The 26,025-nt window shown below is 44.6% G+C and overlaps 1 protein-coding gene across 3 annotated transcripts in view, besides 10 other annotated features; it reads left to right on the top strand.

Annotated features, from left to right (window-relative positions):
* Window positions 3,460-4,073: an enhancer, noted in NCBI's record as "H3K27ac hESC enhancer chr15:81281856-81282469 (GRCh37/hg19 assembly coordinates)". NCBI's record gives its function as "activates a minimal SCP1, AML or CMV promoter by ChIP-STARR-seq in primed H9 embryonic stem cells {active_cell/tissue: H9 hESC(primed)}" and the evidence as "EXISTENCE:reporter gene assay evidence [ECO:0000049][PMID:30033119]".
* Window positions 3,460-4,085: a biological region, named in NCBI's record as "H3K27ac hESC enhancer GRCh37_chr15:81281856-81282469".
* Window positions 3,496-3,775: a silencer, noted in NCBI's record as "silent region_6738". NCBI's record gives its function as "represses an Ori minimal core promoter by ATAC-STARR-seq in GM12878 lymphoblastoid cells {active_cell/tissue: GM12878}" and the evidence as "EXISTENCE:reporter gene assay evidence [ECO:0000049][PMID:35858748]".
* Window positions 3,526-3,820: an enhancer, noted in NCBI's record as "tiled region #7880; HepG2 Activating DNase unmatched - State 1:Tss, and K562 Activating DNase unmatched - State 1:Tss". NCBI's record gives its function as "activates a minimal TATA promoter and a strong SV40 promoter by Sharpr-MPRA in HepG2 and K562 cells {active_cell/tissue: HepG2 | K562}" and the evidence as "EXISTENCE:reporter gene assay evidence [ECO:0000049][PMID:27701403]".
* Window positions 3,769-26,025, top strand: part of MESD (mesoderm development LRP chaperone) — a 43,531-nt gene continuing 21,274 nt past the window's right edge. The window contains exons 1-3 of one of the 3 annotated variants that reach the window (NR_126327.2): window positions 3,769-4,009; window positions 11,406-11,638; window positions 14,111-14,657. Coding sequence is in view for 1 of the 3 variants with exons in the window: in NM_015154.3 (NP_055969.1) it covers window positions 3,797-4,009; window positions 11,406-11,638; window positions 14,111-14,369 (705 nt within the window). In the remaining 2 variants the exon portion in view is untranslated. Of the gene's footprint in view, window positions 4,010-11,405; window positions 11,639-14,110; window positions 17,837-26,025 lie in introns of those variants that run through there. The other 2 variants (NM_015154.3, NR_126328.2) reach the window with 2 other exon arrangements.
* Window positions 3,806-4,085: an enhancer, noted in NCBI's record as "active region_9946". NCBI's record gives its function as "activates an Ori minimal core promoter by ATAC-STARR-seq in GM12878 lymphoblastoid cells {active_cell/tissue: GM12878}" and the evidence as "EXISTENCE:reporter gene assay evidence [ECO:0000049][PMID:35858748]".
* Window positions 4,074-4,688: an enhancer, noted in NCBI's record as "H3K27ac hESC enhancer chr15:81281241-81281855 (GRCh37/hg19 assembly coordinates)". NCBI's record gives its function as "activates a minimal SCP1, AML or CMV promoter by ChIP-STARR-seq in primed H9 embryonic stem cells {active_cell/tissue: H9 hESC(primed)}" and the evidence as "EXISTENCE:reporter gene assay evidence [ECO:0000049][PMID:30033119]".
* Window positions 8,321-8,520: an enhancer, noted in NCBI's record as "active region_9945". NCBI's record gives its function as "activates an Ori minimal core promoter by ATAC-STARR-seq in GM12878 lymphoblastoid cells {active_cell/tissue: GM12878}" and the evidence as "EXISTENCE:reporter gene assay evidence [ECO:0000049][PMID:35858748]".
* Window positions 9,355-9,889: an enhancer, noted in NCBI's record as "H3K27ac-H3K4me1 hESC enhancer chr15:81276040-81276574 (GRCh37/hg19 assembly coordinates)". NCBI's record gives its function as "activates a minimal SCP1, AML or CMV promoter by ChIP-STARR-seq in naive H9 embryonic stem cells {active_cell/tissue: H9 hESC(naive)}" and the evidence as "EXISTENCE:reporter gene assay evidence [ECO:0000049][PMID:30033119]".
* Window positions 14,566-14,860: a silencer, noted in NCBI's record as "tiled region #7655; HepG2 Repressive non-DNase unmatched - State 15:Elon". NCBI's record gives its function as "represses a minimal TATA promoter and a strong SV40 promoter by Sharpr-MPRA in HepG2 cells {active_cell/tissue: HepG2}" and the evidence as "EXISTENCE:reporter gene assay evidence [ECO:0000049][PMID:27701403]".
* Window positions 15,726-16,020: a silencer, noted in NCBI's record as "tiled region #7638; HepG2 Repressive non-DNase unmatched - State 12:CtcfO". NCBI's record gives its function as "represses a minimal TATA promoter and a strong SV40 promoter by Sharpr-MPRA in HepG2 cells {active_cell/tissue: HepG2}" and the evidence as "EXISTENCE:reporter gene assay evidence [ECO:0000049][PMID:27701403]".

Below are 26,025 nucleotides of genomic sequence, written 5' to 3'. Positions count from 1 at the left end.
AACTGGCCATTTATATTTATTCTTTTGGGAATTACCTATTCATGTCCTAGACCGTTTTTCATTTGGTTGTTCATCTTTTTCTTATTGATTTATAAGTTGTTTTTTTTTTTTGGAGACAGAGTGTTACTCTGTCACCCAGGCTAGAGTGCAGTGGCACAACCTCGGCTCACTGCCACCTCTGCCTCCCGGGTTCAAGCAATTCTCCTGCCTCAGCCTCCCGAGTAGCTGGGATTACAGGTGCATGCCACCACACCCAGCTAATTTTTGTATTTTTAGTAGAGACGGGGTTTCACCATCTTGGCCAGGCTGGTCTCAAACTCCTGACCTCAGGCGATCTGCCCGCCTCAGCCTCCCAAAGTGCTGGGATTATAGGCATGAGCCACCATGCCCAGCCAGGAAAACACAATTTTAATTATTATGTTTAACTCTGTGAGTATGCTCTTCTGCCCAAAAATAATGGTGGTGACCAGGAATGGACACCTGCCTCAGACTGGGCCAGTCACATTCTCTACTGAAAATCTGAAATTCCAACAAAAGGCAACGAGTTAGTTGCTACCAATATTTAGCAACTACAATGAATGATTCGTGTCTATGTAATTAAATTTTTTAAGTGAGTAAATTTAGGGGCTGGTAAAACCCAGGAAGTATGCAGTACGTCTATTCTTACATTGGATTAAAAAGCAACAAAAGTGCAAAATGGTAAATACTCATTACCTCTCTCAGCCCATCCCCAGGCCTCTCCTCCTATGCCTTCCCATGAGTCAGTCATTAGAGGGTTAATGTTTGGCACAATGGTGACTGTACCCATCAGCTCATCTGCCTCAGTTCTGATTAACTGGTAATTGTGCTACTCCAGTTTTTCAACATTTTGAATATTACCCCCGCCTGCTTCCAAATAGTACTAGAAAGTCTTGCTTCACCCTCCTCTGTTGTGGAATGATGCATGCCAGGATGAGCTCAGGTTAAGACACTAATTAGATCTGAGATTCAACTTTACCATCCACAGTCACTGAATCACTTAGAGGTGGGGTTAGTATTAACCCCAGAGCACTGAAGAGACTTGTGGCTTCACTTAGGCCATGAGCACACAATCTTTCACATCTGTCCTCTCCAGTCTACACTGCACCACCTGGTACCTGGCACAGACTCTTGTCCCATCTGAGTGCTCCTCGCTCCAGACTTTTCAATGCATTTTCCATTTGGCTCCCAATTTAACCATCCTGAGTGCCTCACTGATTAACCTAGATGGTGCTGTGGCGGAAGAAGGACTCCAAGAAGACTGGACCTTGTTATCCAGTACACCTCGGCTTAGATTCTTGCCTTGCCGCTGCACTAGCTGTGCAGCCTCAGACAAATTGTGTAATTGTAAAACCAGGATTTCCTCTTATTTAAATTGGAGAGATTATCATCATCATCACATCATCCCTTTGGGCCCGGATCTCCTGTAATCTGCATGAAATTTACTGCATATTGTTTATCTGCTCTGCCAGAGTAAGGATATTGTTATATTCATTTTTGCATCAGTGCCTCACCTGATTCTTGGTTAACAATAGGTCTTTGGTAAATAAAATTCCCCCCAAGTTGAATGGAATCAAGTTCCAAACACTAAAGTAAGTTTCAAATATCCAAATGTTGAAAATGCAATTGATCCAGATGTTTTCATATCAGTGGATTATATGCCGAATTGATTTCCTCCTTAGAGGAAAGTCAGTAGCCCTGAAACTTTCTACACATTCCCAACAATTTCTGTAAAACTTTCAATGATCTTATTCTCTATAACTAGATATGTGGGCCAAGAATCCCAACACGTTTGCCCCTTAACTTTGAAGCTGGCAATATGAATTACCAGGGTGACCCCTCCCAGTAGAGCACATGATCAGCCACAGCTGTGCATGTTTTTTAGTATGACTGCACTAGGATAGGGCTCCAAGCCACTGGGTGGAGCAATGTGCTCTGGGGAGAAAGCTCATGACATTTCCCCTATGATTTCACAAAAGAAAAAATCTTTTTCTTATGAGTTGTTTCTGCTCAACGTCAATAGGAAAGGTCATAGCTTAGCGTGTTTACATACAGATGCATGCATGAATATGTAGAATATCAGCCACTCCTACGGTGTGAGAGAATTTAAATTGCACTGGTCCTAAGAGTGAAGGAAAGCAGGCGTAGTTGCCTACTCAACCTCCACTTTATTCTTTTCCCTTTATAACAATCCTAATTTCATTTGAGATGACAATGTATACAGCTAGAAGACAATTTCTCAGCCTCCCTTGGAGAGCTAGGTTCCAGCCAATGAGATGTAAACAGAAATGTATGCAATGTTCAAGTAGGCTGCTTAAAAGAAGTTGACTCCACTTGAAAGGTGTGCTTGGTTTGGCCTGCCTTCTCCCTTCCTCTGGTTGAATGTCATCTTGATGACTGGAGCTCCAGGAGCCATCCTGGAATTTCTGACCTTGAGGGTGGAAGCCACAGGCTAATATGATAGAAGGATGAGGAAGAGGCTGAGTACCAGATGGCTGAGAAGCCACTATACCAGCCCTAGTTTCGAGTTTACACTGCTTCTGTGAAAGAAAAGTCAATCACAATAAAACCTTTTATCTTGTTTAAACCACCTTAAAAAGTCAGTTTTCTTTTATATGCAGCCTACTAATCCTATCCAAACAAGGCTTGAATAAGGTTTACTACAGCTCTTTTTTGTTGTAATAGCAGAAAAATTGGTAATAAATGCCCATCAATAGGAAAATAAACTATTAATTTAACAATACCAAATAAAACTGTGCAGCAGTATAAAGAATGAAGCGTTTTTTGTTGTTGTTTTTGAGATGCGGGTCTTGCTTTATTGCCCAGTCTGGTCTCAAACTCCTAAACTCAAATTATCGTCCTACCTCAGCCTCCCAAAGTGCTGGGATTATAAAGGCTTAAGCCACCGTGCGGCCTTTGGTTTTTTTTGTTTTTTGTTTTTTAAGGTCTTATGTAATTAAACATTTTAAAGACATCAGCTGATGAGCCGTTTAAAACAAGAAGAATCTCAAAGCATCTTTGGCCAAAATCTTTTTAAGAAACAAAAAGTAGCGTGATTCAGCCTTGAAAAGGATTAGTTAGAGCCTACAGTATTAGGTTGAAATCAAAGAAAGGCAAGCTTTTTTTTTTTTGGATGAATAGTAATGATCTTTTTGGAAAAAAAAAACAAATATTGAAAGCTGGTTGAACTGAATCCTCTTTATTGATGAGGAAAGCAGTGGACTCGAACTATTTATGACTTTCTGAAAAAAGTTGCCCTACCTGCCACTCACTTCTTTTTAACTGGCTGTTCTCAAAGGAAATTGCAAGAGACTGAGGATAAACGTCCGACATCCAGAAATGGGCTTTTTTAGAGCCGAGGCAGCCTCCAGAACTTCCAGTTCCAATTTATTTCACAGGCGAGAAACTGAGGTCAACAGGGACGTTGGTTAGTGGTTCCTGGAGGCCCTGAAGGAACTTTTGGACCTGGCTTGTGCGTTCCAGAGAAAAAGGTCGGCCTCTGACGGAAAACGAAAAATGAGCACTCAGGGACCCACCCAGCCGGGACAGAGCGCCTCAGCCGGACCAAGAGGAGGAGCCAGTGGGGCGGGGCCAAAATGGCGGAGGGGCGGGGCTTCCAGAGGCGGGGGTTAGGAAATGGTACGGGGCGGGGCCCGGTAGGCTAGCGAGGGCCGGGAGGCGGGGCCTCGGAAAGGCGGACAGGAAGGCGTGTGCAAGGCGGGGTCCGGCCCGCGCAGGTCGGGTAAGCGCGTCTAGGGCGCTGCGCGGCGCAGCGAAAATGGCGGCTTCCAGGTGGGCGCGCAAGGCCGTGGTCCTGCTTTGTGCCTCTGACCTGCTGCTGCTGCTGCTACTGCTACCACCGCCTGGGTCCTGCGCGGCCGAAGGCTCGCCCGGGACGCCCGACGAGTCTACCCCACCTCCCCGGAAGAAGAAGAAGGATATTCGCGATTACAATGATGCAGACATGGCGCGTCTTCTGGAGCAATGGGAGGTCCGCGGCGCGCGCACACCCTCCCGGCTCTTCTCTGTGCGGGACCCTGTTCCCTATGACCCCTTACCTGTTCTGTCTTGGGACCTTTCTGACCCCCTAACCTCCTCTACTCATGCCTTGAATCCTTACTGACCCACTGAAGCCACTGTTGACCCTCCATTCCTCCTCTGACCCGCGCGCCCTGCTGACCCTCGCTCCAGCCCTCTGTCATTCCAGTGCCCTGTTCCTCCTGCCATTTCTCAAACCACTTCAATCACGGATCTGCCCCTCACTGTTCAGCTTTGCTCTCCCTTCACCCTTCAGTGCCCTGGTTGTCTTTGCGTTGATTCTTGTGGTCAGTGAGCCCTGCAAACAGGGAGAGTGACCTTTCCCAATCTACTAAAGAGCATTTCCTTCTGTTTTGCGGTGAGTGGGTGGGAGAGTGGGTTGCAGTGAAGATGGTCTTCCTTAATGGTTATCTCAGCTGTCTTCTAAATCAGTATAATTTTAGACTTCCTATTTTGGTATATGTCCCTGCTGGGAATTTTGTGCTTTTTGTGGGTGGATTTATTTTACTGAGGGGAGAAGTATCAATGGCTAATGGCTCTGTATCGTGAAACTCACGCTTTTTGTTCAAAGGAGAGTAAGTTTTCTGGTTTGTCACTTGGACGCACCGGAGTGTGCAGTTACAGGGAGTGTGTAATACGCTTTAAGGTAAAGATTACTGGCCAAAACCACATTGCTGCCTTTTCCCCTTCCTAAGGTGATTGTATCGTCCTGGTTGACTTGCATAGCTGTGGAACCTTGGGCAGGTTATGTCTAGTTTCTAGGCCTCGGTTTCTTTATCTGCAACATGAGGAGGTTAGGATGGGTCCTAAGATTCCTTCCAACACTGATGTTTTGTTATTTTGTGATTATCTCTGTGTGTGTTACGGGAGAAGGGAAAGACTTTCAGACAAGAGTTTAAAATACCACCTGATGCATCTGACTAGAAGAATGCAGGCTTGTGTTTTCATGTGGTCATCAACAGCTGATGGAAAGATTGGGATAGATTTGAGTGTAGAGAGAACGTCCCCATTCACCGTCTCCCTTGCAATCTCCTTGTCTCTTTTTGGACTCCAGCAAATAAAGCCTTTTGATCTGCCAGAGTGAGAACATCACCTCATGAGAAATCCTCCCCTTGACCTACTCAGACCCTGAGCTAGACGAAGAGGGTGCTGAAGAGATGAACAAAGATTGCACTGGGAACAGTAGATAACAGGATGGATGAGTGGGGAGAGACTTTGAAGGCCAAGAAAAACACATTATCTCATTTAATCCTTTTACCCCATCCATGAGGGAGGTACTTATCCCTATTTTCTAGATGATGACATTGAGACACAAAGAGGTTAAATAACTTGCTCCACATCGCACAGCAAGCTAGCTGAGTTTCAAATTCTTTCGCGACTTTTAGAGCCAGTTCTTTGAACTGTTTTACCTGTACTGCCACACATGTTGGTGACAGAAGTGCAAATGAAGGATAGTGAGGAAGACGTGGATTAAGCTAGAAACTGCAGGAGCAGAGTAGAAGGGAGAAATGTGAGATTTTTATACTTTTAACAGGACTTGATGGTTGATTTTGTTTTTTAAATTATTTTTTATAGAGACAGGGTCTCCTTATGTTGGCTGGGCTGGTTTTGAACTCTTGGCCTTTGCAGTCCTCCCACCTTGGCTTCCCAAAGTGTTGGGATTACGGGCGTGAGCCACCATGCCTGGGCAATTGATTGATTTTGTGAATAGCAGGGCCACATAATGTAGTAAAAAGACAGGTTGGCTGGGCGCAGTGGCTCACGCCTGTAATCCCAACACTTTGGGAGGCAAAGGCGGGTGCATCACCTGAGGTCAGGAGTTCAAGACCAGCCTGGCCAACATGGTGAAACTCCATCTCTACTAAAAATAAAAAAATTAGTTGGGCATGGTGGCGGGCACCTGTAATCCCAGCTACTTGGGAGGCTGAGGCACAAGAATCGCTTGAACCAGGGAGGTGGAGGTTGCAGTGAGCCAAGATCATGCCACTGCACTCCAGCCTGGGCGACAGGGTGAGACTCTGTCTCAAAAAAAAAAAAAAAGACAGATTTTGAACTCAGCTTTACCCCTCACTAGCTACTTCATCCTAGTTTTACGTATCTGTAAAGCCAGATAACGCCCTACTTTGCAGGGTGCCATGCGGATTAAATGAGTTAATGTTTGTAGACGCTCTACAGACATGAGGACTCTTCCCCAGTAGCAGTGTTTTTTATGTGGGAGAGCGTATCCATCTCTGTGGGTGCTTTTTTTGTAGGAAGCAGTTCTTCTCCTCTTGTGACCATCTCTAAATCCATACCCTCACTCCTTCCCCAGCAGTGTGAGAAACAGTGCTTCAGTGAGAGGCTGTGCCTCAGAGGTGTGGAGAGGTGAGAATTCCTTCCATTGTGTTACAACTAATTCTGAGTCCCAATTGGTGTAGAAAAACCAAAGGTGGTTATTACATTTTACATTATGATAGCCAGGTATAATGGGAAGAGGCAGTTGGAGGGATTTGGAGCCAGAAATGTGGTTTGCACTTCTAGCATGTGAGTAAATTAAGTAAATCATTTATCCTCTCTGAACATCATCTTCCTTGTATATTAAATGGAACCGGGTAGGATTGTTCTGAAGGTTGGAGATAATATATGTAGAGTGCCTGGGACTTAGTAGCTACTTAGTAGATGTCACTTATTATTAATATCAAGAACCATGGGAGGAAGAAGAGGATTTGCAGAAAGGGGAGCTCAGCTTTGTAGCTACTGACTTAGACAAACAGTAATGAAGGAGCTCTAAAGCCAGTTGAAAATGCAAGACTGGCCTGGAGGCAGGGCTAGGACTGGAGTCAGGGGACTGCCTGACTTGTCCCTGGCCCCCCGCTCTGCCTCAGGGTAAAGACTGGATTGTTTTCAGCATAAACACACTGATCATAACAGGTTAGGTTACCCAGACTAAGGGTAGAACTGGATAATTATGTACATCTAGGGTACTATTTTTACACTTCAATTTTAACATATAATAATTATACATATTTATGGGGTACAGAGTTGTATTTCTACACATGTATAAAATGTAATGGTCAATTCAGGGTAATTAGCATATCTGTCTCCTAAACATTAATCATTTCTTTGTGTTGGGAACATTTAAAATTCTCTCCTAGCTGTTTGAAAATATGCAATAAATTATTGTTAACTATAGTCATCCTACAATGCTATAGAGCACTAGAATTTATTCTTCCTATCTAATGTAATTTTGTATCCATTCACCATCCTCTCTCCCTATCTCCCCTCCACTTCCCAGCCTCTAGTAACCACAATTCTAATCTCCACTTATGTGAACACAACTATTTTAGGTCCGCATACGAAGGAGAATGCGCGGTATTTGTCTTTCTGTGTCTGGCTTATTGCACTTAACATAATGTCCTCCAGGCTCATTAGGGTACTATTTTGCAATTTTCTTTTCTGTAACTGAAACACACACACACATATACAATGGAAATTAAAGCTGCTTTTTTTTTTAAGTCTCTTGAAACAATTTTTACCTGTATTATATGCACTAGACTTACGACTATTTAATTATATTTGCATTAACAAAGAAGTGCTGGACTGGGCTTAGTGGCTCATGCCTGTAACCCCAGCACTTTGGAAGACTGAGGCGGGTGAATCCTTCGAGCTCAGGAGTTCGAGACCAGCCTGGGCAACATGGTGAAACCCGTCTTTACCAGAAATACAAAAATAAATTACCCAGGTGTGGTGGCATGCACTTGTGGTCCCAGCTACTCTGGAGGCTGGGATAGGAAGATCACTTGAGCCTGGCAGGCAGAAGTTGCAATGAGCCAAGATTGCACCAGCACCATTGCATTCCAAACTGGGTAATAGAGTAAGACCCCATCTAAAAAAAAAAAAAAAAAAAAAAAAAGCTGCTTGGGACCTACTGAGTTAATTTCATGATTATTAGTGAAATCAATCTGAAAAATACAAATATTCTAGGGTATTGAACCAACTGGAAGTCTTGAAGTGTTTTAAAGAGACTATAACCGATGTTATGGAGAATTAAGATAAAGACAGAAACAACTTGTGAATTTGGCAACTAGGAGGTCCTTTGTGACTTGAGAGTATAATTTCCATGCAGTGATTGTGGTTGGAGGCCAGATCACAGAGGCCTAAAGAGTCAGCAGTGTCATAGCCAACAGATACAGTACTGAGTTCTGCTTGCCTTTAAGTCATTACATCCCCAAACAAACCTTAGGAGGGAGAAGCTGTTATTACCCTCAGCTTTCCATTATAGGTAAGGAAAGTTATTTTCAGATGGGCTAAGTAACTTGCCCAAGGCCACATAGTGATGGAGCGCATCCGTCTGACAGCACAGCCCATGCTCCTGTCTGCAAGTCACCATCAGTGGCTCTTTGAAAGCAAAGTGAGGAAGAAACATGTCAGTTGAGAGGGTGGCAGAGTGGAAAAGAAGGTTAGTGTGTTATGTGTGGTCATGTTACTGGGGCCTTGGAGATCACTTCGTTCTGCTTTTCATTTTGTAAATGAGGAAACAGGCCTCGAGGCGTAAGGATTCTTAGGCAGGGTCACACAGCTAGTTATGCAAAACTGAAACCAGATTCCAGGTCTGACGTCGGTATGGATCACCTTCAAGCACTGCGTAGAATTCTTTCGTTTTTACTTTTTACTAAAATTATTTTTAATATAGTACATTATTAATGGTATCTTAAGCCTTGGCCCTTCAGATATTGTTCAGTAAGAGTGACTTAGGGGCTTTTTTTTGTTTTTTGTTTTGGTAACAGGTTTATTGAGATTCAATTCACATGCCATAGGCAATTTACCCATGTAAAGTGTACATTTTAGTTTTAGTATCTTCAGAGAATTGTACAGTCATCACCAAACTCAATTTTAGAACATTTTTATCATCCCCAAAAGAAACCTTCAACCACTCCTCCCCTGTGTTCTCCCAACTCCCTAGCCAGCCCCGGGCAATCGCTTATCTACCTTCTGTCTCAACAGATTTATCCATTCTGGACATTTCCTATAAATGGAATCATAGAATGTGTAGTCTTTCATATCTGGCTTCTTTCACTTAGCATAATATTTTCATGTATCAATCAGTACTTCATTTCTTTTTTCTTTTTTCTTTTTCTTTTTGGTAGAGATAGGGTCATGATATGTTGCTCAGGCTGGTCTTTAACTCCTGTGCTCAGGTGATCTCCAGCTTCGACCTCCTAAAGTGCTGAGGTTATAGTTGTGAGCCACCATACCCAGCCAGTACTTCATTTTTTTTGGTTGCTGGCATTAGCCTTTTCTCCAAGGAACCTGGTTCTATTAAAGATTTTTTATTTGTCAGTCTATATGCTATTTATTAGGCATGGTGGCTAATGCCTGTAATCCCAGCACTTTGGGAGGCCGAGGTGGGCAGATCACGAGGTCAGGAGATCGAGACCATCCTGGGCAACATGGCAAAACCCCGTCTCTACTAAAAATACAAAAATTAGCTGGATGTGGTGGTGCGTGCCTATAATCCCAGCTACTCGGGAGGCTGAGGCAGGAGAATCGCCTGAACCCAGGAGGCAGAGGTTGCAGTGAGCCGAGATCGTGCCACTGCACTCCAGCCTGGTGACAGAGTGAGACTCCATCTCAAAAAAAAAAAAAAAAAAAAAAAAAGTTACTGTTTTCTATTAGTAATTTATTCATTTGTTTTGATCATTATGGGTTCAACATCTCATTTTGTTTGAGGGGTTGTAAGTCATACTATTATTTATTTTGATGTTGAGATTATTTCAACTTTGGCCCATGAGAGCTGCTTCAAGTTGGCTTCCATGGCATTTTGACATGTTCACGATTCTTTGAGCACTTTACTACTTTGTGATGCGGGATTATTCTAGGCTCATCTTCTGTCTCTCTTGCTATAAGCCTGTTCTCCAAGGAACCCACGCTCTTTTAAATATTTTTATCCATTAATCTGTTTACTCATCTGTTAATCTATGAAAAACCATGAGTTTCTCCTGATACCTTCAATTCCAGCCTAATACCACAGGGCTCATTCTTCCCCCTTTCATGTTTGTAACTTACTTCCCAGAAGTTAAGAACCTGGCTCTCATTACCCTCAATATGTTTACTCCTTTTCTCAATCCTAGAGGTCACATAAGATAGTCTCAGAATTGCTAGCCCATACCACTACAGAAAACAAACCTGCTAACTGGAATTGAATATTTTTGTACAATGCCTATTAAGTGAAATGGGTATACATGGAGTGCAGATTTTAAGTATACAGTGCAAAGAGGGAGTATTTCTTTTCTTTTTTTTTTTTTCTTTTAAGACAGGGTCTCGTTCTGTCTCCCAGGCTGGAATGCAGTGGCATAATTATAGCTTACTGCAGCCCTGATCTCCTGGGCTCAAGTGATCCTCGTGTCTCAGCCTCCTGAGTAGCTAGGACTACAGGCACCTGCCGCCACACCTGACTAATTTTTAAATTTTTTTTAAGAGATGGGATCTCACTATGTTGCCCAGGCTGATCTCAAATTCCTGGGCTCAAGCAATTCTCCCACCTCAGCCTACTGAGTAGCTGGGACTACAGGTGTGCCTCACTGTAGCTGGGACTACAGGTGTGCATTGCCATACCTGGCTACTTTTAAATTTTTTTTTAGAGACAGTCTTACTGTGTTGCCTAGGCTGATGTCGAACTCCTGGCCTCAAGTGATCGTTTTACCTCAGCCTCCCAAAGTGCTGGGATTACAAGGTAAGCCACAGTGCCTGGCCTGCAATAAATTTTGATAAATGGATATATCTGTGTAATCTACACCCCTGTCAAAATGTAGAACATTTTCATCACCCCAGAAAAGTTCTCTTGTGTCCATTCTCAGTTAATCCTCCCTTGTCCCCCCTTCTACAGGCAACACTGTTCTAATTTCTGTTACCCTAGATTAGTTTTGCTCATTCTTGAATTTTAAATAAACGGAATTGCATAGTAAATCTTATTTTGTATCTGGCTTCTGTCACTTAACATTTTTGGGATTTGTTAGATGTATCAGTATTTGTTCTCTGTTGCTGTGAAGTATTTCATTGTGTGACCATACCAGAATGTGGCCATTTTTACAGCCTACCATGTTGGGTAGATTGTATGAGAGTTTAAAAGCTCTAGAAACCCATCACATGGGGGCGCTCTGTGATTGGTAACCTGGGTGTGGGTAGTATGTGCTGCCTGAAACTTAGACTATCTTGAAAGTTAAGAAGAGGAAGAAAACCCCTGGTTTTCCTTTTTATGTTGTAATTTAAGTCATATACATGCACCTGACATCATGCAGAAGTTTTTGCCTGTGCCAGTTGAAAAGCAAGATTCTGATGATAGGTTTGATGCTTTTCCCCTAATCTGATAGAAAGATGATGACATTGAAGAAGGAGATCTTCCAGAGCACAAGAGACCTTCAGCACCTGTCGACTTCTCAAAGATAGACCCAAGCAAGCCTGAAAGCATATTGAAAATGACGAAAAAAGGGAAGACTCTCATGATGTTTGTCACTGTATCAGGAAGCCCTACTGAGAAGGAGACAGAGGAAATTACGAGCCTCTGGCAGGGCAGCCTTTTCAATGCCAACTATGACGTCCAGAGGTAAAGCAGCAACAACCAGCTGAGAGACTCATAGGCTGTGCTCGGTCTTTTCTTTATTATTATTATTAATTATGATGATGATGATGATTTTTTTGAGACAGAGTTTTGCTCTTGTTGCCTAGGCTGGAGTGCAGCGGCGTGATCTCGGCTCACTGCAACCTCCGCCTCCCTGGTTCAAGCGATTCTCCTGCCTCAGCCTCCCGAGTAGCTGGAACTACAGGCGCCCGCCACCATGCCTGGCTAATTTTGTATTTTTAGTAGAGACAGGGTTTCACCATGTTGGCCAGGCTGGTCTTGAATTTCTGACTTCAGGTGATGCACCCGCCTCAGCCTCCCTAAGTGCTGGGATTACAGGCGTGAGCCACCACACCTGGCCCTGTGCTGGGGCTTTTCCTGAGGCTCTTAACAGGGTGTCCTTTCTGGCCGTATTTCCCAAGGGCCTCTGCCTTTCCTTTCTAGGTTTTCTTTTAAAATTATTTATCTATCTAGTTTGTTTTTTTTTTTTTTTTTTTTGAGACGGAGTCTCACTGTGTTGCCCAGGCTGGAGTGCAGTGGCGCAGTCTCAGCTCACTGCAAGCTCCGCCTTCCCGGTTCACGCCATTCTCCTGCCTCAGCCTCCCGAGTAGCTGGGACTACAGGCACCTGCCACCACGCCCAGCTAATTTTTTGTATTTTTAATAGAGACGGGGTTTCACCGTGTTAGCCAGGATGGTCTCAATCTCCTGACCTCGTGATCTGCCTGCCTCAGCCTCCCAAAGTGCTAGGATTACAGGTGTGAGCCACTGCACTCAGCCTATCTAGATTTTTTTAATGTAAAGAAGAGCGTTGCCGGGTGCAGTGACTCACTTCTGTAATCCCAGCACTTTGGGAGGCTGAGGTGGGCGGATCACGAAGTCAGGAGATCAAGATCATCCTGGCCAACGTGGGGAAACCCTGTCTCTACTAAAAATACAGAAAAATTAGCGGGGCATGGTGATGCACGCCTGTAATCCCAGCTACTCCAGAGGCTGAGGCAGGAGAATCGCTTGAACCTGGGAGGCAGAGGTTGCAGTGAGCCGAGATTGCGTCACTGCACTCCAGCCTGGCGGCAGAGCAAGACTCCATCTCGGGGAAGAAAAAAAAAAAAAAAGGGCATTTATTGTTGGTAAAAGCAGTTAAGTTTTTGTTTTTATTTTTTGAAGAGGCGAGGTCTCACTATGTTGCCCAGGCTGATCTTGAACTGCTGGCCTCAAGTGATCCTTGCACCTCAACCTCCCAAAGTGCTAGGATTACTGTCACTGGCAACCATGCCTAGTGTGTGTTTTTTTTTAATATCTCAGTTGATCCTAAAGTTTTATTTATCTTTGGATCTTTAGCTTTTATTTCATCTGAACAGAAGGGTGTATAGCTTAGTTTAGACTCTTTGAGGGACAAAGTTAATAGTTTGACAGCTTCAGCTAGAAGTTTCTGCTCAGTGGAAAGTGCTTTGTGTGTAGCTATGTTCACACATAGAGCTTGGACCATGCTGTTAACCGATAACTAATTTAGTATGAAGAGGCTCAGTTTTCACACTTGAGTATGGTCCTGAGGTACAATTTTAAGAAATCTGCTTCTTTTTCCTCAAAAACAGTTCTGAAATTTGGGGTCTGCAAATATTCTGGTTTAGGAAATATAAAAGCAATGACAAGAAATGGGAGGAGTACTTAGAGAGTGTCCGGCCAGCAAAATATTTTCAATTAGCTTAAATAGACACCTAGACAGAACAAATAAATGTCTTGGTGATGTCTGCTCCAGAAGGCCCACTGGTCTCTGTGGAGTGGTGGGAGCATTAGAAACTGAAGGGGGAACGCGTGGTGTAGTCCCTAAGGAACAGAAGAATCTTGCCCGCTGGCCACACTAGGGCTCCACCCAGGCCTCATTCTTTCCGCTTTGTTCCTTGGGACCTTTCGAGTGTGGACGAGCTGGGCAGCTTGCTGCTAAGCTCAAGGGCTAGGATTTTTGTCCAACAACCAAGTGTCCTCTTGAGTCCTTCATAGCCTCTTATCATGACCCACTCTAAGCCATTGGTTTTCCACCTTTATCAGCAGAAGTCTTTTGTCCCATAAAAGTGTAACTGGACACTCTAGAATATAAAACAGATACAGATCAGATCGAAGCTGCCTCTTTACCTCCCCAGCAGCAGCCCCTGAGCCACCTCTGCAGTGTCCTAGGGAGGTTTTCCAAATGTTCACTTTTAACACGGGCATCCATTTATACAACAAAGGAACATCCAGTGTCTGTTTCTATTTTGATCTGAGCTGGATGTTTAATAGTTCAGCAAGCTAGTATTTTAATACATGAGATATCAGTAGCTGCTAGGCTTTGGAAAATCCAATTTTTCATTCCATATTCATGTAGAATTTGAAATAAACTGATAAGTGCCAGAGAATTGCTCTGACCCCTTAGCACCTTACTAGTACGTGCTGGCTGACTGATTGCATCTCTCTGCCCAAGGTTCATTGTGGGATCAGACCGTGCTATCTTCATGCTTCGCGATGGGAGCTACGCCTGGGAGATCAAGGACTTTTTGGTCGGTCAAGACAGGTGTGCTGATGTAACTCTGGAGGGCCAGGTGTACCCCGGCAAAGGAGGAGGAAGCAAAGAGAAAAATAAAACAAAGCAAGACAAGGGCAAAAAAAAGAAGGAAGGAGATCTGAAATCTCGGTCTTCCAAGGAAGAAAATCGAGCTGGGAATAAAAGAGAAGACCTGTGATGGGGCAGCAGTGACGCGCTGTGGGGGGACAGGTGGACGTGGAGAGCTCTTTGCCCAGCTCCTGGGGTGGGAGTGGTCTCAGGCAACTGCACACCGGATGACATTCTAGTGTCTTCTAGAAAGGGTCTGCCACATGACCAGTTTGTGGTCAAAGAATTACTGCTTAATAGGCTTCAAGTAAGAAGACAGATGTTTTCTAATTAATACTGGACACTGACAAATTCATGTTTACTATAAAATCTCCTTACATGGAAATGTGACTGTGTTGCTTTTTCCCATTTACACTTGGTGAGTCATCAACTCTACTGAGATTCCACTCCCCTCCAAGCACCTGCTGTGATTGGGTGGCCTGCTCTGATCAGATAGCAAATTCTGATCAGAGAAGACTTTAAAACTCTTGACTTAATTGAGTAAACTCTTCATGCCATATACATCATTTTCATTATGTTAAAGGTAAAATATGCTTTGTGAACTCAGATGTCTGTAGCCAGGAAGCCAGGGTGTGTAAATCCAAAATCTATGCAGGAAATGCGGAGAATAGAAAATATGTCACTTGAAATCCTAAGTAGTTTTGAATTTCTTTGACTTGAATCTTACTCATCAGTAAGAGAACTCTTGGTGTCTGTCAGGTTTTATGTGGTCTGTAAAGTTAGGGGTTCTGTTTTGTTTCCTTATTTAGGAAAGAGTACTGCTGGTGTCGAGGGGTTATATGTTCCATTTAATGTGACAGTTTTAAAGGATTTAAGTAGGGAATCAGAGTCCTTTGCAGAGTGTGACAGACGACTCAATAACCTCATTTGTTTCTAAACATTTTTCTTTGATAAAGTGCCTAAATCTGTGCTTTCGTATAGAGTAACATGATGTGCTACTGTTGATGTCTGATTTTGCCGTTCATGTTAGAGCCTACTGTGAATAAGAGTTAGAACATTTATATACAGATGTCATTTCTAAGAACTAAAATTCTTTGGGAAAAACCCTCAATTGTGATTTTAATAAATTAAAAGTAGCACATTACATGGTTAGAAAATGTCAGTGTTAAAGAATGGTACAAAGTGAAAAGTGTATCCCTCTCTTGCCGCCGGTGGTAGCTTGTCCCAGTGGAAGCTGCTGTTAACAATTTGTGCCCCCACATCCCCCTCCCTGCCCATCCACCAAAAAAAAGTACATTTACTTATGTAAATGTACTTATGGTGATGTATGTTTGTTTTGGCCTCACAGCATCTGTTTCCCCTTAATTTGGTAGCTGCTCACATTTCCCTCGAAAGAACCACACCCTCTGCATTCTCAGTTCTCTGCTTTGGATGGGACATTTGCCCTGCAGTCCCCCCACCCTCCAGGCCATGCCCTCTCCAGGGTGAGGCCTGTGTGATCTACCGTACTAGGGTACTAGGCCCTGAAAGAGGCTTTTCTTGTTCCTCCTGCATCTTGAACCTGGAGCGGGAGCTGTTGTAGGCCCCGCCCTTGGAGAAGAGAACTGTCTGACAGTGGGGAGAGAGCGCCACACCCTGGTGGCATAAACGAGTCCCTGAATCATGCCGTGGCTGAACCAAGCCCTGTCTGTGGGCTTTTTCTGTTGTACTCAGGGCAGTTTGATGGGGTTACTGTCCTGCATAGCCATAATGGCCCAGTATAAAGCAGCTGTTTTGATGAGATAATTGCTTTAATTAAGCAAAAGGTAGCAAAGCTTTCACTCCGCCCTGTACCTTCTGTTTCCACTTAGGAGCCTTCCCATGTCAGAATGTGCAGATCTGTCTCATTGTTTCCTGTGCAGTGTGCCCCCACTTCACCCAGTAGTTTCTGTGTGTCTGTTATGTACTAGGTACTACAAGGTGCCAGGACGGTGTAGATACAGCCTCTGCTATCGTAAAACTCAATGATTCGGTGGGGGAAGACAAATGTCAGTAATGTACAAAGTAAAATGGCAGCTGTTAGAAGTATGAAAGGGGCAGGGTAGGGGGAGGTAGAATCTTCCCTGACCAGGTTAAGAAAACCAGAGGCCTTCTCTGAGGGCAAGAGGAGGAGAGGAGAAATAGAGTAAGGCAGGCAGAGGAAACAGTCTGAGCTAAGACCCTGTGGCTAGAAGTGGCAGAGGGAGAGGCAGCAGGAAGGCCAGCGGGGAGGCTGGGGCCCAGTGCAGGCCCAGGTTGGAGGAGCGTAGCACATGGAGTTTGGTAGGAGTTTGGGACGCCCTGGTGGATCTTAATTGTGATGGGGTGGGTGTGAAAGGCAGTCCAGGTTGCACTGGTTGCACAGGAGAAGTGATCAGAAGAGGACCCCAGCAGGTGTGAGCCGTGAGCTGGGAGGTGCTTCAGTAGTGCAGGCCATAGCTGAAGGTGTCCTACATCAGCAGGGTGATGGTGAGGTTTGAACCACTGTTTCACTGCATAGTCCCTGCTGATGGACACTTGAGTGTTCAGATTTTTTGCTGGTATATTCAGTGCTGCAGTGGACATTTTCATACAAAATATTTCGGTACACTTTTGTTTATATCTGAAAGGTAAATTCCTAGCAGTAGAATTATTAGAGCAAACGGAATTTAACATTTTGGTGTGTATTGCCAAATTGCCCTCCCAAGTGGTTTAGTCAGCTTACCCTTGCCAACAATAGATCTATCCTTGCCAGCCTTGGGCATCACATTTACCAGTTTAATAGATTGTAAAACCATATCTTAATTGGCTACCCTGAAGCCACCATACTGGAGAGGCTGCGTACAGTGTTTCACGTAGAGAGAGGGATACCCAGGAGGCCCACCTGCTCCAACCCCAGCTGCATGAGTCTTCCCAGCCCAGGCACAGACATGTGGATAAGATTTAAACATTTCCAGCCCCAGCCTTCAAGCAATCCTAGTTGACACTGAGGGGAGCCAACATAAGCTGAGCTGAGAAACAGTCTGCCCAGTCTGCAGATTCATGAGCAAAAGAAATGTTGGGCTGGGTACAGTGGCTCACGCCTGTAATCCCAGTACTTTGGGAGGCCGAGGTGGGTGGATCAGTTGAGGTCAGGAGTTTGAGACCAGCCTGGCCAACATGGTGAAGCCCTGTCTCTACTAAAAATTAGCCGAGTGTGGTGGTGCGGGCCTGTAATCCCAGCTACTCAGGTGGCTGAGGCAGGAGAATGGCTTGAACCCGGGAGGCGGAGGTTGCAGTGAGCCAAGATCAGGCCACTGCACTCCAGCCTGGATGACGGGATGAGACTCTGTCTCAAAAAAACGAAACAAAAATTTTTTAAGAGAAATGTCATTTGTTTTTGTTTTTGAGACAGGGTCTCACTCTGTTGCCCTCACTAGAGTGCAGTAGGATCACGGCTCACTGAAGTCTCTACCTACCGGCTCAATTGATCTTCCCACCACAGCCTCCCAAATAGCTGGGAGAAATGTCCTGTTTTTAATGAATTTGTCTTCCTTTTTGTCTTGTTTGTTTTAATATCTAGTGATCTAATAAATTTGGATGATATCTTTTGACTATCAATTATGAAACCTGTATCAGATATACACATCTTTCCTTCTTCATCCTCAGGCTTTCTGGTTTTGATGGTGATACTGTGGCTTTTGTACTTCTGGTGGTTTCCCTTATACTGTTAAACCTCTTTTTTTTTTTTAAATTAAACCAACTTAGTATGCATTAACCACTGAACAAGGGAAAGGAACTCACAAACTTTTTCCTGTGTCCCTGATTATTGTTTAATAGTGTTTGTATACTGACAAGATACATAATATCCACCTTCTGCACCCACAGTGTCCGCCTTTATGCTTGGACAAGAGCATGCAGGGTAGGACATTTCTGAGCCTTGCTTTTTTCCCTGGAAGTTTTTTGTTTGTTTGTTTGTTTTTTAAGAGACAGGGTCTCTTGCTGTCTCACTCAGGCTAGAGTGCAGTGGTGTGTTCATAGCTCACTGCAGCCTCAAACTCCTGAGTTCAAGCCATCCTCTTGCCTCAGCCTCCCGAGTAGCTAGGACTACAAGCATGCACCACTATGCCTGGCTAGGTTTTTTTTTTTTTGTTTTTTTTTTTTGGAGAAATGGAGGTGTCTCACCATGTTGCCTGGGCTGGTCCTCAAGCAATCCTCCTGCCTCGGCCTCCGATTCACTGGTATTAAGTTGTGAGTCACCACGCCCAGCTCTACCTTTCAGCTCTTCTTACACATGGCTCCACTGGAGAGGTGTGAGGCCACCCCTGTCTTTCCCCTAGAAGTGACTGCTTTTTCTCTTTTTCTTTTTTTAAATTTGATTTTATGTTTCTTTGTTTGTTTTGGGGGATTTTGTAACTGATTTAAAAATTTTTTTCCTTTATGACTGCTTTTTCTTAGACTCCTTAGGGATTCTTCATTCTTTTTTTAATTGAAAAATTTTAAAAATTTTAAATAATTTTTTAAAATTAATAAATAGCATTCAGCTCCTTTTTACTTATGCAACTCATACTTAACATTTAGTAATTTTTCTAGGAAAAGTCTTAGTGTTGTTTTTTTTTTTTCTGAATCTTTTTTCTTAATCCTTCTAGAGCATGCTGTGTAATTTCTAATTGATTGCAGATTCAGCTCCCCCCTCCCCCATTATTTTGGAAAAATTTATCTTCTGTTAACTTTAGTTTTGTATTGGTATCTTGGGTTTCTTTTTTTTTTTTAGCTCTGATACACATTTTATATTTTTAAATATTCCGTTTTTATCTCATGTTTGAGCTGTTTTTATTAAAATTCAAGTTTTTATTAACTTCTATTACTCAAAAAATCCAAATGGAGAATCTTCACCTTGGGTTATATTTTCCCCCAGGATTGAATATTTATCTGTATTTGTGTGCTACATTCTTTTATTGCTGCTGTTTTCTAATTCCAAAATGTTTGGGTAGATGCCACATCTTTGTTTTTTCCCTCTCTTATTCATGCTTATTAGGCAGACACAGCTTTTCCTAGACCTCAGCCTGTACAAGTGTCACAGGTGAATTCTCGCTGGCTCTTTTCCCTCCGTATCTGAGCGTTGTCTGCTTCGCCAGGAGCTGCAGTTCCAGGGCGGAGTACTGCCTTCTCTCAGCTTTCCTATAGCTGAACCGGAAAGGAGAGGGGCTCAGACAAGGCTGTGTGTGGCTCTGCTTGACAGGTAGCCTCTGCTCTCCTGTGGCTTTCCTGAGTGTCCTAGACTAGGGTTCTTCTCCCCAGTGGGGGGGGGAACCATAATTGCTATTACAAGGAAAAATGATTGCCAAGACTTCAGAGAGTTCCCCCGTGATAGCAGAGAGTCCCTTCCTCAGGAAGGGAAAGGCTGGGATGTTCTTTGCTTCACTCTGTAGTAACCCTTTCTCTTCCGATCTCCGGAGAAGAAAGGTCATGCAATATGTGGCTTTGGGCAAAGGCAGGAGGCACTTGCCCCAGGCACACAATTTGAAGGGCAGCACAAAACTCGGTAATTAAATAGTATTTTAATGCAATATTTTTAAAAACCAAAAAATGTTTTCTTTAAAAAAAAAACAAAAACCATGATGAATAAAAGATGAGCATTCTAAATAAAGACAGGATCTGTCGAGGGGGTGAATAGGGTGAGGCAGTGAGGCGGGGCTGGCAGGGCCAGGGGCAGATTCACCACCTTCTCCTGCAGTCTGTGGTTGGTATTTATGTCCTTGTGCTTAGAAGTTCATATTCCCTGAATCCCAGGGTTTGTGTTCATAGTAAGAACTGAACTATTTATTTATTTTTTTTGAGACAGGGCCTCTGTTGCCAAGACTGGAGTGCAGTGGCACAATCATGGCTCACTGCAACCTTGACCTCCTAGGCTCAAGCCATCCTCCCACCTCAGCCTCCCGAGAAGCTGGGACTACAGGTGCACGCCACTACACCCGGCGAATTTTTGTGGGGTTTTGTTGTTGTTGTTGTTGTTGTTTTCTCGAGAGACGAGGTTTCATCATGTTGCCCAGCCTGCTGTCAAAACTCCTGGGCTCAAGTGATTCACCCACCTTGAAGTCTTTATTTTTATTAAAATAATAGCACAGCAATGTTAAAAGTTCTCTATAAAAGGAAGAAATTCATTTACCATCACACCGTCCCAGCTATCCAAGCTGTTTTCATTTGGCCAAGATCCCTTTGAGTCCATTACATCTGAGCGTTATATTCACATATTTGTCATCATAGCAGAAACAGAATTTGGTTTACAATTTTTCCACTCAGCGTTATATAGTAACGAAGGTTTTTGTTTTTTTTGTTTGTTTGTTTTTTGAGACAGAGTCTTGCTCTGTTGCCCAGACTGGAGTGCAGTGGTGCAGTCTTGGCTCACTGCAACTTCCACCTCCTGGGTTCAAGTGATTCTCCTGCCTCAGCCTCCCAAGTAGCTGGAATTACAGGCACCTGCCACCTCACCTGGCTAATTTTTTGTATTTTTAGTAGAGACAGGGTTTCACCATGTTGGCCAGGCTGGTCTCGAACTCCTGACCTCGTGATCAACCCACCTCGGCCTCCCAAAGTGCTGGGATTACAGGCGTGAGCCACTGCGCCCAACCTGTAATGAAGTTTTTATATTGCTGCCTGGTCTCTGCGTTCAGCGTTTTAGTGGCTGTGTAATATTCCCGTCCTCTTGCTGTGCCATAATTCTACTTAACAGATTCATGTAGTGAAGACAGTAGGGCTGGACCAGGCATGGTTTTGTTACTTACACGTGCCTGAGTCCAATCTCTGCCTCACGATCCATGTCCCTTTCTAGGAGCATGTACTTCTACCCACAGCTCTGGCTGCTGTGTTTACATGCACAGCCCTGCCCTGCTCTCCCACCCTCCCTGGATGGTCATGGTCTTTTGGACCAGAGGTGGGCATCTGACCCAGGTCACCATCAACCAGGTTGACAAATCAGATCCTCTCTCAGCCAGAGACTGGATGATTTGATAGCTGAGGCATTAATAGTGCAGCAGCCACAGTGAATTGCAAGAATGTGTGTGTTAGTTAAGTTTCTACACTTGCCCTAAGTGTTCGACCTCCTGAGTTTTGATATTCAAGTTTTCCTTGAATTCTGAGAGCTCTGTATTCCTATGAGAAACTTTTCCCTAGGGCTACTTTGAAGAGGTTTCTGCAGGTCTGATCCTCTCTAACTTTTCCTGATCTCTACTTATCCATCTATGTGAGGGAGTGAGACGAAGCACATGTGTAAAGTCCCCAGCACCGGGCCTGTATCTGTGCTCTCTATTTTTTTCTATATTTGAGTTTTTTTAGTTATCCACAATTATCAATAACGTTGAAATGAGCAGTTTTCCTTCCTTAAGATTAGTCCTTTGGTGTCGATTTCTTTTTTTTTTTTTTTGAGACAGAATCTCACTCTGTTGCCCAGGCTGGAGTGCAATGGTGCAGTCTTGGCTCACTGCAACCTTCACCTCCCGGGCTTAATCAATCCTCCCACCTCAGCCTCCCTCCCAAGTAGCTGGGACTACAGGCGTGGTCCTACTTGTCTCAGGTCCTACTTTTTCCTGTGTCCCTGATTATTGTTTAGTCCCAGCTACTCAGGAGGTTGAGGCGGGAGGATCTCTTGAACCTGAGAGATAGAGGCTGCAGTGAGCTGTGATTGTGTCACTGTACTCCAGCCTGGGGGACAGAGTGAGACCCTGGCTGGAAAAAAAAAATTGTTTTAAGACTTTATTGCTCCTATTGGAATAAGGGAAGAAGTTGAACTCAACTCTGAATACAGTGAAGACAATTGGGGATTTACAGCAGAGGAGCAGAGTGAGGGGATCAGTGGGTGGAGAATTACTAAGAGGAACTTGATTAGATATCAGGGGCAGGGGGATTCTTATTAACTGACTTAGGATTGTTGCTAACGCTGGGCTCAGCAGTCCAAGGTCAAGGCCTAGCTGAGAAGATGGCTCAGAGGAGCCCAACTAAAGTTTCTAAGGAGGGGTCTTTGTCATTTCTAGGGCTTTGCATGTGAATGCTCTTGACTGAAAATAGAAATTAACCCTTGACTGTGCAATCTGATGGCCATTGTTTTCCTATGCTAGGCTGTCAGGTACCTCGTTGACCAGGTAGGGTGAGGCCAGGGCTTGGAGCTGAAAGCCATTTACAGCAGGCAAAGATCAAGCTCTTCCACAAAGACTTGCAGTAGGAATCCTCTGGGGTAGCAGTTGACAAATATTCTCTTCTTGACCAGCCTCCAGTGAGGCTCCTTGAAGCCCTTGAAGCATTGACTTTCAGTGTCTGCTCTTGTGGGGCTTGAGTTGCCCATTTTAGCAAGAATCCTGTTAATCAATTTATTGAGAACTTCTTACCCTTGATATCTAATCACTCAATATCTGATCAAATTCTCCATCCTCCACCCCGCCCCCAGGTGATATCTGATCACCCAGGCCTACCTTCAGCATAATCCTGTTAGGTCTGTTTAACCAGAATCCGTGCTACCCCTGACATTTCCTCTTAGTCATTTTCCATCTACTGCCCCCATCCTGCTCCTTGGCTGGGGTAAAAACCTGTTTGTGCATGCTGTATTCAGAATTGAGCCCACTTCTGTACTGAGGTCTCTTTCCCCTTATTGCAGTACTTTCTGATTTAAATCTGTTCTTACTGCCGTAACTACCATCAGACACTGATTTTGTTTGACTAGGTCTGAGCGGGAAAGTTCCGAAGAATAGGAGTGGCTGAGTTAGCTACGGAGTTCATTTGGGGCCGGGAAGCAGAGAGGAAGACAACGATAATTATGATGAAGAACACGTTTTTGATGTCAGAAAGTACAACACTTCCCATTATGCACTGCATGTGAGCCTCACACCTGCCCTGCAGTGGAGGAGTAGATAGTTTACAGGTGAGTGAGCCCAGAGGGAAGGGGATTTGCCAGTGATCACGAGGCCAGCGAGTGCCTTTACTACTTCGTAAGACCCCTATTAAGTGAAGTAGAATTGTTCATTCTCTCCACCATATAACCAAAGCACAGCTTGGGAAAGTGATTTGACTAGAACCTTTTTCGGAAGCTGTCTGCAGTGGTTATCATCTCCTAAAGGAAAGTCAATTTAAAAATTAAAGGATGTACCCACTAGGGGGCAGCAGAGACCAGCTGTGCCTCACGGCTTCCCCACCATGTGTCTCTAATTTGCCACTGATCCTTCGGTGAGAATTCTTCAGCTATTATTTTAATTAACAGACTGCTCAGTCTGTGCTTGCAAAATATCTGTGAAAATCTGCATACACCTCTCTCTCTGAATTCTCTTGGAAATCCAAGGGATTATCTTATCCATGTGTACTGTTCTAGTAATATTAATTTACTTCATCCTCATAGCAAGCAGCCCTATGCAGTAAATACTGTCATCCCCATTTTGCACACAAGGAAACTGAGGCACATAGCCATTCAGTATTTTCCCCAAGGTCACGCTGCAAGGCAGTGACAAAGCCAGGATTTTTTGTTGTTGTTTTTTAAGACAGAGCCTTGCTCTGTCGCCCAGACTGGAGTGCAGTGGCGCCATCTCGGCTCACTGCAACTTCCGCCTCCCGGATTCAAGTGATTCTCCTGCCTCAGACTCCTGAGTAGCTGGGATTACAGGCACCCGCCACCACACCTGGCTAATTTTTGTGTTTTTAGTGGAGACGGGGTTTCACTATATTGGCCAGGGTGGTCTCGAGCTCCTGACCTCAACTGATCCGCCTGCCTCGACCTCCCAAAGCGCTAGGGTTACAGGCGTGAGCCACCATGCCCAGCCTCAAACCCAGGATTTAAACTCAGGCAGGCAGACTCCAAAACTGACACCAGCCACTGTAATCTGCTTGGGAGAGGGGCTGCTCCCCTTCTCTGGACCTCTTCTCAGACCCATGTGCCAAGTGTTGATACAAGCACTCCCCATGTAAGTGCTGAACACCAATAAGTTTCGGGAAGTGTGCAGGCAGTGGAGATAAAGATAGCAAGGCAGGCAAGGTCCCTGCCTTCTTGGTATTTACAGGTTGAATATTAAAAGACACACAATGTCTTTCAGCATGGAGTGTGCCTACTGTGTGCAAGCTCTGGACATCCTTACCTAACTGTGACATGCTACCCACTGTGTGCAGGTCTTTACATACTTTATTTCATTTACTCTCATTTTATTTTCAGTTAGGGTCTCACTCTGTTGCTCACGCTGGAGTGCACTGGCACGATGGCAGCTCACTGCAGCCTCGACCTCCAGGCTCAAGTGGTCCTCCCACCTCAATCTCCTGGGTAGCTGGGACCACAGGTGTGCACCATCACACCCAGCTAATTTTTTAATATTTTTTGTAGAGACAGGGTCTCCCTATGTTGCCCTGGCTGGTCTTGAACTCCTGGGTTCAAGCAATCCTCCCACCTTGACCTCCCAAAGTGTTGGGATTACAGGTGTGAACCACTGTGCCCGACCTCATTTACCCTTCACAACCCCACAAGGTTGGTATTAGTTAACATTTACTATGTGGCCCTTTGAAGCACAGTTCTGGTGTTGGACTTCCCAGCTCTGCATTTTATTAGCTGTATCATGTTGGACAAGTTATTTAAGGACCTCACTCATCTAAGCCTGTAGGTGCTAATAAAAGTTCCCATTTCAGAGAAGTATTATAAGGATTAAATGAGCAAGTCCCTGTGAAGCACTTAACACAGCTTTCTTTTTTATTTTATTTTTAAAGTAAAGAGGTGGGGTCTCACTATTTTACCTTGGCTGGTCTTAAACTCCTGAGCTCAAGCGATCCTCCCACCTTGGCCTTCCAAAGGAGTACAGGTGTGAGCCACTGTGCCTGGCCAACAGAGCTTTCAGTACATGTTAACTATTATCATTTGTGTGTGTGTTTTGTGCTTCAGGTGACTAGACAGAAGCTTGTAGGGGTTAAGCCCCTTGCTGAGAGTCACAGCTAGGAGAAGGCAGGATAACATCCTGCCTGGGCTGTTTTCTTCTGGAGGCACTGCAGTTTTCACTGTGGCTTGACACTCTAAGGGAGGGGCTGGGATGGAATTCTACATGGGCCACAGAGATTGCTCCAGAAGGAGAATGGCCACCTTGCCCAGTGTAGGGTATGCCAGAGCAGAGCGGGTCAGCTTCCTTCCAGGCAGAAACATCTGCCGTTCCCACCACCTTGGTGCTCTGCTCTCAGATACCTGCATGGCTGAGGACCTGCTCTCAGGTGAGATGGTTTGCCCTGAAAGGGGCAGAGCTGCCAGAGTCCAAGCGGTCTGCAGGAGACTGCAGTTTGACCATGCTGCTTGCTGGTACAAGGAAATTTTTGGTAGGCAGATTTCAGGAGGTCCCACGCAAGTGTCACAAGCCAGAAACTTGAGATGTTGGACCCCTTTCCACTTGATCCAGCATCTGGGAAAACCTGAGCCTGCAGTTGGGGCCACTTGGCCAACTCTCCATAGATCTTGTTGAATCAGCTTAAACCTGGGCTTGTCAAATTCTGGATCTCAGCAGCCCAACTTGCAATTTTAAATCTTTGACCACTGTTCCCTGGCAGACCTAGGGCAATTTTTGTTTTCTCCAGAGAAGTCTGCCGAAGTTTCTGAGGTGAAGTTTCCAAGCTGATGAATTGGAAGCCCAGACTTGGCAGCTCTCAGCCAAGGAGGGCTGCAGTTGGTGGAATGTGAAGAATGCCCAGGGACATCTGGTCTGCCTTGCATCTGTTTTTCAGGCCAGCCCGCATTCTTCCTGCAGGAGAGAGCTTCAGCCATAGGCCTAGAAACACTGGGGCCCCTTTGATCCATGCCTCCTACCTCA

Source organism: Homo sapiens, chromosome 15, assembly GCF_000001405.40.
Source record: "Homo sapiens chromosome 15, GRCh38.p14 Primary Assembly".
NCBI classification, from domain to species: domain Eukaryota; kingdom Metazoa; phylum Chordata; class Mammalia; order Primates; family Hominidae; genus Homo; species Homo sapiens.
Note: the sequence above shows the minus strand (reverse complement) of the source record. Positions and strands in the feature narration are given on the sequence as shown.